We start from the raw sequence: 11,514 nt of genomic DNA, 5'->3' as shown, positions 1-11,514 counted from the left end.
AGCAGGGTGTGCCATGTGGGGGCAGGGGGAGGTGGCTCCAGACTCTGAGCCTGACCCCAAGAGGGCAGTGGTGCCTCAGCCCCACACAGCTCTCTGCTTCCCTGCACATCAGAGATGATCGCTGCCCACGTGGCTTTTTCCCGTGCGGGTGTTGTGACCCCTGCGCTGGAGGAAGATGGTGTGAACCCTCCCACTGCCTCCCCTTAGAGAAACCACCCAGTATAAAGAAAACAGGCCAAGGGGCTTGCTGTGTTTTCATGCTTTAATTCAGAGTTGTCTGCTGCAGGTACAACTCTGTCTGAACAAAAGGACAAAGGAGACAAGAGTCAAGATCCCTCCCCGCCTCCCCACTTCCCACATCCCCTGAATTCTTCGTGAAGGGGATGGCCTAATATGGGAATGCACTGTGACCTGTTTGCATTGTCCCCCAGGTCAGAGAGGGGGTTGTGAGTTCTCTGGGCAGAGGCCCCTGGGTAGGCCTTGGCCCCAGAACCTTGCAGTTTGTCCCACCCCTCCCCAAAGTGCTGTAAGATACCCCTGCGCTTGTGGCAATTGGGAAGGGTGTGTCAGTGAGAAGCTAAGTGATCCCCTTGGGAGAAATCTACAATAAACTCCACTCAAGCCCAGCTCTCTGTGCAGAGCCCGGGCCCCAGCGTCCGATTCCTGCCTGAGCCTGGACTGGCCGGGCAGTAGTGCCACTCTGGCCCGAGCCCTAGAACTCAGGAGAAGCCACGTCTGGCCGCTAGGCTCCAGAAGGTGGTTCCTGGGGACACTGTTCCTCAGGACCTCATCAGCTCTTGCCAGACGCTGGGGAAAGGGGAGGCCCCAAAGATTTCTGTTTCAGAGGCTGAGGGCAGGAGGAAAAGTCACAGCCCAACGGGAGGAGGTATTAGGCAGGAAGGAAAAGGGTCACTGTGGAGGGTGAGCTCTCTCAGGGGGAGGCCCCGCCCCATCTTTGCCCTCCCAGCCCCATGTGTACCCTGCCTCTTCAGGGCATGGCACCTGAGCAGCAGCTGCCGCACCTCCACCGCCTGGAGCCTCACAGGCAGCCTGCACCTTTGCATAGATGCGGGATCTGAGCACACACACATGCACTCCAGAGCTGGGCCAGGGCCACCGGCCACCACAGTCCCAGGGCCTGTCCCAGGGCTGAGTGGGGAGCTGCTCCCTCCACTGACAAGAAGAAAAGCCCATCGAAGGCCCCAGGAGAGCCCCCGAAAGAGAGGACCCTCAACACTGTGGGCCAGGGCCCTCGTGACCCACACCGGTGGTCTCAGGCCAGAACAGGAGTAGACGGCCGCTGCTGGCTACACTCACCTCCTCCACAGGCCTCAGGCCCAACCACAGCCCAGTCCTCCACAGGTGGCTTCTCTAGCAGCAGAGACAGAGTAGACTGTGGCCCCAGCCCTGTCACATCCACCAAAACACAAGACACAATAGGAAGGCCACAGACGCAAGACACAGACAGGAGCAGAGGGGCCTGAAGCTTGACTAAATTCCAGTGGTGAAAAATAGAGAGATTTTATGTTGTCAAATATAGTTCATACATTTCTTTTCTCGGCAAAGCTTTGACTATGTCTGAGGAGACTACGCAGCTCCGTGAGTGCGCGGCACAGGAGGCTGGGTCCGCAGCCAGTCCCGGCTTGGCTTTGGATTGGTTTTGTCCACTGCCCCCTCCGTGGCATGGCCACAGTGTCCTGCGGGGGCAGCCCCAGCCAGGCCTCAGGCATCTGGGTTTGGTTTGGCTGGGCTGGGGCTTATTCCACAAAGGTTGGCTGGTCTGAGGCCCTGACCAAGGCGGGGGGAGCTTTGGAGGCACAAAGCGTGTGGCAGAGGGGGCTCCTGCCCCGAGGGCTGGGCCAGCCGCCCCCTCCCAGTGCATGCAGGTGCCCCGCCTCACGTGGAGGGCACCGAGCAGAAGGGCAGAGCCCATGAGTTAGGCAATGGCTGTTGGAGCATTGGGGTGAGGGCAAGCAACCTTGGCAGATAACCAGAGTGGCCCTTAGGCCAGAGGGGCGAGTAAGACACAGGGTCCCTCCAACCCCCAGAGGTGGGGCCTAGCCTCTGAAGAGTGGGTGGGACAACCAGATGGGTGTAACCCCTGTGGGGGAAAAGGAGTGAGTTTACTTGGTAAAATAATAATGGTAATGTCAGCAGCGTGGCTGGGGGACTCAGTATGGTCCCGGGAAAAGAGTTGGGGCAGTGAACTTCCCAGGCCGACTGGCCTTGGGCTGGGAGCAGGGAGGCTGCAGGGCGCCTACCTGCTCTGCCACGCCCCTGCCTAGGAAACCTATCCCAGGACACCCTGCTTTGGCCTGGATGAACATCGTGGCTTCAGTACGCGCCATCCTGCGATTCATCCTGCCAGAATACCCCACCCTCCTCCAGAGGCAGAGAGGTTTAAGGTTTAGGAACCCTCATCTCAGACAGCAAGCAGCCACCTCACTGGAGACCCTTGGATGGCTGAGAACCAACCCCAAAGTGAACATAGTGCAAAGCAGAAGTTGGGCCCGAGGGCCCCAGAGAAACTCGGGGCAAGTTTCTGGGGGCAGTCATGGCCTCTGGCTTTTTCAGTAAGCTGTGGGTTCCTGAGTCCAGCCCTGCCTCCCAGCCTGCAGATGAGATGGCCTCACCTTGGAAGGCTGGGGGAGCCCCCTTGGGTTTCTGCCCCTGCCTCCTCTTCTTGTGCTGGTGGATTCTCCAGCTGGGAGCTGGGACTCAGGCAGGCCCTCCTACCCCAGCACTGAGCTTGCCGGGCTTAGCTACCTCACAGGAATAATGACTGACACACCCAGAAGTGCCAAGAGGAAAGGGATGACGGGAAAGCCTGGGATGAACAGACAGACACAGAACCCACACTGCCCTCCGCCACCTTGCGCCCAGCCCCGTCTCTCCTCCAGCCTGTGGCCTTGACTGAGCTCCTGAGTCCCAAGGTGGGCAGCAGTCTGGGGAGGCTGGAATGCCGGCCGGCCCAGTGGTTCTGGCCTCTGCTCTGAGCCCTGGGTCAGTGATCTGCACTTCAGGCCATGGCTGCCTCCATTTGAGGAGAGAGCACTGGCCCAGGAGCCTGGGCTGCGGGCAAGGTGGCTTGGAAGAGACGGCATGGAGTGCGCAGGGCACTGGACAGGATGGTGCAGGGCAGGGGCCTATGGGCAACTCAAGCCCGGCTTCCCCACATGAAGACAGCCAGAGACTTCCTGAGCAGGGCTGGCCCTGTCTGAAGAGCCAAGGGGACAGAGGGGCCGGGTTGGCCCTCGCTCCCTCCCCTCCCTGCAATTTGTCCAGCTGGTGTACCTCCTGCCTTGGGTCCCCCTTCCCTGCTCTCCATCGAAGCTTTGGGATGCCTTTCTCCAACCCCTGCTCCTTCCACGGGACTGTTTTAACATCTTGAAAAAAAGAAACAGTTCCACACCCAAAACTAAATAAATAAGATGATGCCCATGGGAGAAGGGAGGGGGGAACGGCATCCCTACAATCAGTGGTCAGGCCGCAGGCGCCGCTGCCAGAATGGGCCCCCTCAGAGCTGGGAGCCGCCGCCCGCTGGGCTGGGACTCGGCTGGCTCAGCGAGCGGCAGCTGATCCTGCGGATGGAGTGCAAGGCCACAGTGCAGCAGCCCCGCAGCAGGGAGCTGATGTTGTAGATGGGCTGGCCCTGGCGCCGCTGGGAGCGGCAAAGCCAGGCCACCGTGGGCACGGCCGGCACCACCACAGCCAGCAGATCCACGATGTAGTGGCGGCTCCAGTAGCTCTTGGGCTCCTTCTCAGCCACGGCAGCCTCCTCCTCCTCTTCCATGGGGCACACCACGCTCACCGACTGGCCAGGGTTGGGGTTGGCACCAGGCCGCTGTGGGGTGGGTCCACGGGTGATGGGCTCTGGGGCCTCTAGCTCATCACCCACTGTCACCACCACTGCTGAGTTGGGGTCTCTGGGCCCTGAAGGGTGGGCATCCAGCTCTGGGCACCTGTCCCCTGACTCAGGGTCTGTCCCACAGACCTGGGCCTGGGTCACTTTCTCCAGGATGGTGTCAAGGTCAGGCTGGTACTGCACGAAGTCTGTCTGGATGGCACGCTCCTGCATGCAGCTGGCCTGCACACCAGCCTCCATGCCACACAGCAGCTTCTCATAGGTGTTGCTGGCAGGGAAGCGGGGGCCCAGGCCGAAGGAGCTGTGCAGCGAGGTCTCCTCGGTGCCACAGTCCACCCCCGACGACAGCAGGCTGCTGGCTTCCAGCGCGTCCGTCCGGCTCAGTGTGTCATCGGCTGCTGCAAAGCCACTGTCTGCCCCATCCTCAGCAGAGCCGCTGGAGGGATCACCCGGCTGGCGGTCACCACAGACAGCCGGGTCACTCAGCTTGGTGTAGGTGGAGCTGCGGGTGAGGGAGCGGGCAGGGGACCCACCGGCTGACTCCCCAGTGCCATCCTCCTTGGCCATGCCATTCTGGGCCACCTCCATGCTGTGCAGCAGCGTCTCCAGCTTCTTGTTCTGGATGTTGATGTCCACGAAGTACTTCTGCAGCCCCTTGTCCTTGTCAATCAGGTTGTTCTTGACAGTGTCGATGACCTGCTTGAGCTGCTTGATCTCCTTTCGGGCCTCCTTCAGGGCCAGCTGGGCCTCCACGCGGTGGCACTCCTCCTCAATCCAGTCCTCCTGCATGCGTGACAGCTGCGTCTTCAGGTCATCAATCTCTGTGTCCCTGCGAGCCGAGGAGACACACACACGCTCACTGCCTGCCTGCCTGGTCTGTCACCGCCAAGGAGAGGCAGGGAGAGGACACTGTTGCCAAGGATGAAGGGCCCTGTGCTGCTGTGGCTCAGAACCCAAAACAGAAGGACAAACTCAATGCCTTCTTATTATAGTGGGGAGTGAGAGTGGCTGGGGAGAGGGGCTGAGGGGTGAAGACAGGAGAAGCCTCTGCCTGGAGAGAGAAGAAAGGTTGGGAGGAGACACCACTCGCATTCCCTCCCCCACCCCACCACCCCCAGAATGCCGACAACTCTCAACATTCAAATCCATCATCTAGAGAAGAGACTAGACAACAAAGATGCTCATAAGTTTTATAGCTACTGCTATAAAAACCTAATAAAATCTTAATGTGAAACAACAAAAACTAGGCAGGAAATCTCTGCTCTATAGAAAGTGATGTAGCCTCCTACTACCTACTAAAGCAGGTTGCAGAAAGTTTCAGTGGAGGAATATTTGGCCAGAGACCCCAGGGGAGAGAAATGACAGCTTTCAATGTTGGGGGAGGCTGATGATTTTACATCATCCCTCATGCAGAGCGATGAGAAGTGGTGGGTGGAACGGGAGAGTGATAAGAACAGGGTGGCTCTCATCTATCCATGCTAGAAGCTTCTTTGTATCTTTGTATCTCCTTGTATCTTGTATCTTAAAGAGGAAAAGCTGAAAAGATCAACGAGAAAGGCATAGAGTTACTCCTGAGCGACGGGGGCAAGCACCAGGTGAACAAGATAGTCGGCAGACTCTTGTCCAGAAATGCTCAGGCTTTTCAAATTCCCGAGTCACAGATGAATCCAGGGGTGCAAGGGGAGGGAGGTAAGTTAGAAAAATATGCCATCAGGTCTAGAGGTAAAACCAGAGTGAGACAGAATGGCGACTGATTAACACCAGTGAGGAAGAAGGAAAATCATCCAGGAGACGTCAAACCCTGTCCTGGGCATTTTCGCTCACTTCCTAGTGGCAGCCCACATGAGCCCCCTCAGCCTAAACCCTACATTCCCATCCGTAAAATCTACAAATGCCGTGCCTGTCACTCTGGGGTTCATCAGCCCAGCAGAATGACCGTCCCAGATCAAGCACCATATACTTTTCAAAGCCAGATCAGAATTTTCCTTCAGGAAATGGGCCCAGGAATCTCATTCCACAATACGCTGGAGGGACTGGGGGCTGAGGGGATGCAGTGGCCATAAAGGTCAGCAATGGTGTCACCTAGAAGGGGCCCATCCACCCATCAGGACACAGCTGGAGCTGCTTAGAGTGCCAATAACAGACAAGGCAACAGGTACTGAGGGGCAGGAGATACTTGGCCTTCACCCTTCCTGCCTCCAGGTGGGGGGCCCACTCTAGGTAACCCTTTTGGCCTCTCACCCTGCTCCTCACTCACACCTCACCCTGGGAGAAAGAGTGAGTTTGAAAGAAGGAACTGGGCATGATCTGCTCAGCCAGTCTCTGCCTCTCTCTCCTTGGGGCCCAGCCAAACCCCAGGGAGCCATGGCTTCGAGCCCTGTCCACGCCTCAGTGGGCATCACATCTGAAGTGCGTCTTGAAGGGTAAGTCTGCCCAGGGAGCAAGATAGAAGGCAGGGCATCTCAAGTAGTGGGGACACAGATACGAAAGCACAGAGGTGCAAAAGCCATGGTGTCTTTGAGGAACAGAAGGTGGGCCACTGCAGGAAGCACAGGCATGAAACTCCATATGGAGAGAGTGTGGGGAGAGTGACAGTATTTCATGTAAAGACCTGCAATGGGTTCCTGTGGGAGTAACAGGCAGACAGTGACCAGGGAGTCAAGGTGTTAGCACACCTACACCAGGGCATCCTGCCCAAACCACACAGGGCAGATGGTCTGCTCTAAGCCATGGGGCTGGCCCTAGAAATGAAGCTGGGAGATGGGCCATCTGCTCCCTGAGGCATTAGTGCAAAAGGCCACGCAGATCCTGGGCATCATTGGGAAGATGAGGGAAAATAAAAATAGAAATCCTCCCTCTGCCGACAATGAAGCTCGCTGAATGCTACCCGTAACCGCCTGTAGTTTAAAACCACAACAAATCCAAACCGGATTGGCTGCTTGGCAGAGCTGTGGTCAAGAACGATGTGGTCATGCATACAGCGTGATCCCATTTATATGAAATGTCCAGAATAGACAAATCCATAGAGACAGAAAAATCAGTGGTTGCCAGGGACTATGGTGGTTGGAGAGAAACTGGCGGTGATTGCTAATGGGAATGGGGTTTATTTTGAGGTGATAGAAATATTGATGAAATTAGAAATTGGCGGTGATTGCTAATGGGAATGGGGTTTATTTTGAGGTGATAGAAATATTGATGAAATTAGAAATTGGCGGTGATTGCTAATGGGAATGGGGTTTATTTTGAGGTGATAGAAATATTGATGAAATTAGAAATTGGCGGTGATTGCTAATGGGAATGGGGTTTATTTTGAGGTGATAGAAATATTGATGAAATTAGAAACTGGCGGTGATTGCTAATGGGAATGGGGTTTATTTTGAGGTGATAGAAATATTGATGAAATTAGAAATTGGCGGTGATTGCTAATGGGAATGGGGTTTATTTTGAGGTGATAGAAATATTGATGAAATTAGAAACTGGCGGTGATTGCTAATGGGAATGGGGTTTATTTTGAGGTGATAGAAATATTGATGAAATTAGAAACTGGCGGTGATTGCTAATGGGAATGGGGTTTATTTTGAGGTGATAGAAATATTGATGAAATTAGAAATTGGCGGTGATTGCTAATGGGAATGGGGTTTATTTTGAGGTGATAGAAATATTGATGAAATTAGAAATTGGCGGTGATTGCTAATGGGAATGGGGTTTATTTTGAGGTGATAGAAATATTGATGAAATTAGAAATTGGCGGTGATTGCTAATGGGAATGGGGTTTATTTTGAGGTGATAGAAATATTGATGAAATTAGAAATTGGCGGTGATTGCTAATGGGAATGGGGTTTATTTTGAGGTGATAGAAATATTGATGAAATTAGAAATTGGCGGTGATTGCTAATGGGAATGGGGTTTATTTTGAGGTGATAGAAATATTGATGAAATTAGAAATTGGCGGTGATTGCTAATGGGAATGGGGTTTATTTTGAGGTGATAGAAATATTGATGAAATTAGAAATTGGCGGTGATTGCTAATGGGAATGGGGTTTATTTTGAGGTGATAGAAATATTTATGAAATTAGATAGTGGTAATGGTTGCAAAATTCTGTGACTAAACTAACAATCATCTAATTGTACACTTTTGATAGGTGAATTATATGGTATGTAAGTTACATTGCAATAAAGCTGCTGTATTAAAAAAAAAAAAGAAAGAAAAGAAAAAAGGAGCGATCATCGTGCCTGCTCTGAGCTCCAGCCCCACACAGCACCTTGGCCAGCTCACAATAGGCTGCATGTTTGCATAGACACAGTCCCGAGAAGGATAGTTAAGACAATGGGAGATCGACGCCCTGAAGTGTAGATCACAAAGATGAAGCCACTGGGCTTGGAGGGTAGAAGCTGGGAGGGTTGGGATTAAGCACTTGAGAATGAGCTCAGACGGCCTGCGGGGGCTCCTGGGAGACACCTGGGCTGGGGAGGAGCTCAGCAAAAGGCTTCTCATCATCATCCTCCACAGCAGGAAGTAGATGGCTTCTGGGGCCTGAAGTCGAGGTTGGCCACAAGCCCTCTGGTGACTCACTCAGGAGGAAGCGAGGAAGGATAAAGAGTTGTTTCTCCCCCAAAAGAGGCAAGTAAGTCAGAAAGAAGCCCTGTGCTCCAACTCCTGGAAGATGGGAGCCAGAGGAAAAGAAGCAGCCAAAGGAGCTGCCAGGCTGAAGCTGGGAAAGGACAGCACAGGCAGGAGGCCCCACAGGACAGGCCCTCATGGGAAACTGCTCCCGCCTGGCCCCCAACAGCCTCGTGGAGCAGTCAAGGTGAGTAGCTGCTGGGGATGAGGGTCTGCAAGTGGGCTCAAATGAGGCTTTGCTGGGAAGGAGAGAGCAGACGGATGCTGGGAGACCCCCAGCCACTCCTCCCTCCAAGAGGCACCCCAGAGCCCTGGTTTCCCTGAGTGTGGAGCTGGTGGGGTACCCCCAGGGCTGCTCGTGGCCACCCGCTCACCGGTCCTGGAGCCGGTCCTGTGTGTCCTTCAGCCGGGCTTTCAGGTGCCGGATGCACACCTCCTTCTGCTGCAGGGGGGTCAGGTACTGCTCCGGGGTCGGGGGCTTGATGCCATGGTTGTCACTGCACAGCGTGTATTTCATGGAGCGCCTGCAAGGGGACGCCCATCATCAGGGAGGGAGGAAGAGGTCAGGCAAGGCACAGGTGCTTTACCTCTGGGGAGCAAGGGGACACCAGCCTCACCATCCCTGGCCACCAGATGCTCCAAGCCAGGCCTCCCACACAAGGCAGGAGAACCCCCAGCCTTCTGGAAGGTGGGTTTTAGTAGAGTTCCTCTAAGTGAAGACCATCATGTCAGGAAGCGGGCTTCAGGGCTCCTCTAGTTAGGGCTGGGTGGGGAGATATATCCCAGAGCATATGTGTAAACCTGGAACCAGGCCAAGCACTTGACCAACGCCATCAATCCTTATAGCAGCCCTGAAGTAGGGACTGTCTTCATCTTTTAGAGGGGCCGCTGGCCTCAGAGAGGTTAGCTCTTGCCCCGAGCCCCTCAGACAATCCCGGTAGTGTGCCCCAGAACCCAGGTACCTCGTCTTCCAACCTGGAGAATGAGTTTGAAGGCTGGAAACTGAGGTGTAAGTGGCAGATGCTGGGTCTGCATGGCAGACAAGGACTCACCCCCACACAGCAGGATACATCTCCCAGGTGGAGGCAGAAGCTCTCCTCTCTAGAGCTGAGACCCCTCACAGCCTGGGGACAGGGAGGGCAGACACGCGCAGGCACAGCTGTCTCCATATACGCCCTGGCACTCTCACTCCTCACCCCCACTGCGTACACGTGGGTGAGCACTACATGCACGCACACTTCCTGGGATGTCAATTCCCAGTCCATTCACACCTGCATGCCCACATACATGGAGACACACTTGTGCCTCGCAGGTACTCACACATACTAGGGCACCAGCCCAGGCACATGTTCACACTTTCACCTCCGGGGGCACATGGGAGCACACACGTGAACACCTGCCGGCTCTGGGCAGGGACCTGTCCACTGCAGTACTCTGGGGTGGCAGCAGGCTGGAAGTGCACTGCTCCCAGCACAGGGCGGCACTGACATGGTGCCCTACCAGGGCAAAGGAGAAGGAATTTCCACCCAGAGGGCAGTCAGGTGCCAGTGGAGGAGGGAGGGCCAGGCTTTCACGGGGAAGGAGAATGCCCCAATTCCACAACAGACTATGGCCCAGCCAGCTCTATTCTCAGTGTCCTGGCTGCTGGTTGTTTTGCTCAAACAGAAACCTTGGATCTTGGCTTAAAACCTGGGCATGTATCTCGCGACTAGAGACTCAGGCCTTGTTGCCATCCAACTCTGCTCCTTGAGGGGAGAGTGACTGGCAGGTCTAGGGAGGGGCAATGTCCCTTTATGAGCCTGGAAAAGGCAGGCCCTGGTGAGGCCCATTTGCTGAAGCAGCCGAGCTGGAGGCAATTTTAAAAGTTCCATGGAAGCTGTATGGTGTTTACCGAGGAAAAAGTACTTGTAAGTCGTAAACTGTCAAAGAGAAAGTGGTGATAGAAGTGGAATGAGAAGTGGTTTTCTTCTATGTACTCACGTCATGGCCCCTAGGTCAACTCAAGCCAAGTCACGCAGGTCTCCTCTCTGCTTGGCAAGGGGCGGAGGAGTCACCCCTTGGCAAGGGGTGGTAGGAGTGGGGGACCCAAGGTTAGCTAAACTAGTAAGGATTGAGGATTAGAGAGGAAGTAACTATTTTACATTCTTTTCATTTTGCTTTCATGAATATTTTCCCCGATATAAAATTTAACACGTGTACATTTTTAGTCACTAGCTCTTTGTAAAAAAAAAAATATGTATACACACACACACACACACACACACACACACACACACACACAAATTAGAAAAAAAATACGCTGTGACGCATGTTTCTCAGCTGTTCCTGCCTTGGAAAGCCTGGCTATTTGCAGAGGGGACCTAACTGTGGCCCCACTGCTCACCCAGGGGCAGCAACCCTTGTTGTGGGGAAGAAGACCCTTTGCTGGGAGCAATTCTCAGCCCTGGGGTTGGGATCACCTCCATGGGCTGCAGTTACGAGGTGTGTTACAAAATCTGTTACTAATAGAAAAGATTAAAGTTGCCAATTATATAGTTTTCAAAATGTAAATTAATGCTTTACTCCTATGTCCCCCAGTCTCTGGGGTGGTGTTACAGCCAGGATGCTGGGGCATGAGTCCTGCACATGGGTGTTACCCATCATGTGTGTCACGATAGAAATCTAACAGCTGCTGTTTCAGTGGCTCTGGACATCGCTTCACACAAATGACATCCTCTCCACTGAGTCCTCCCAGGAGGTGCTCCAGCCATGGGAGCCACAGGCTGGGCATCTCCTGGCCTTAAGTCAGATCAAAGCTCTAACAACAGGAGGTATCAGTTATTGGCCAACTAGGATGCACAGGCGGTGTGTAGATATCAAGTCACCGAAGCTTCCGAGTTATTAGCTCCACTTTAAAGAAAGGAAATGGAGGCTCAAGACAGGAAGAGACCAAATCCAGAGCCTATGCTCGTTCCCTACACGCCCCAACCTCCCACTTGTATTTCAATGCTGGGGAAGCAGGACAAGGCCTACCATGACAGCTCTTCCT

At 54.2% G+C, this 11,514-nt stretch overlaps 1 protein-coding gene across 13 annotated transcripts in view; it reads right to left on the bottom strand.

The window, feature by feature from the left end:
* SNPH (syntaphilin) overlaps window positions 245–11,514 on the bottom strand; it is a 43,034-nt gene continuing 31,764 nt past the window's right edge. For all 13 annotated transcript variants that reach the window (NM_001439261.1, NM_001439264.1, XM_047440614.1 and 10 more), the window contains 2 exons: window positions 8,861–9,010; window positions 245–4,694 (listed from right to left, as the gene is read on the bottom strand). In NM_001439261.1, the coding sequence (NP_001426190.1) occupies window positions 3,518–4,694; window positions 8,861–9,010 (1,327 nt within the window). In that variant the 3' untranslated portion in view covers window positions 245–3,517. The remainder of the gene's footprint in view (window positions 4,695–8,860; window positions 9,011–11,514) is intronic.

This window comes from Homo sapiens, chromosome 20 (genome assembly GCF_000001405.40).
Source record: "Homo sapiens chromosome 20, GRCh38.p14 Primary Assembly".
Classification (NCBI taxonomy): domain Eukaryota; kingdom Metazoa; phylum Chordata; class Mammalia; order Primates; family Hominidae; genus Homo; species Homo sapiens.
The sequence above is the reverse complement of the archived record's forward strand: the minus strand, read 5'-3'. Positions and strand labels throughout refer to the sequence as shown.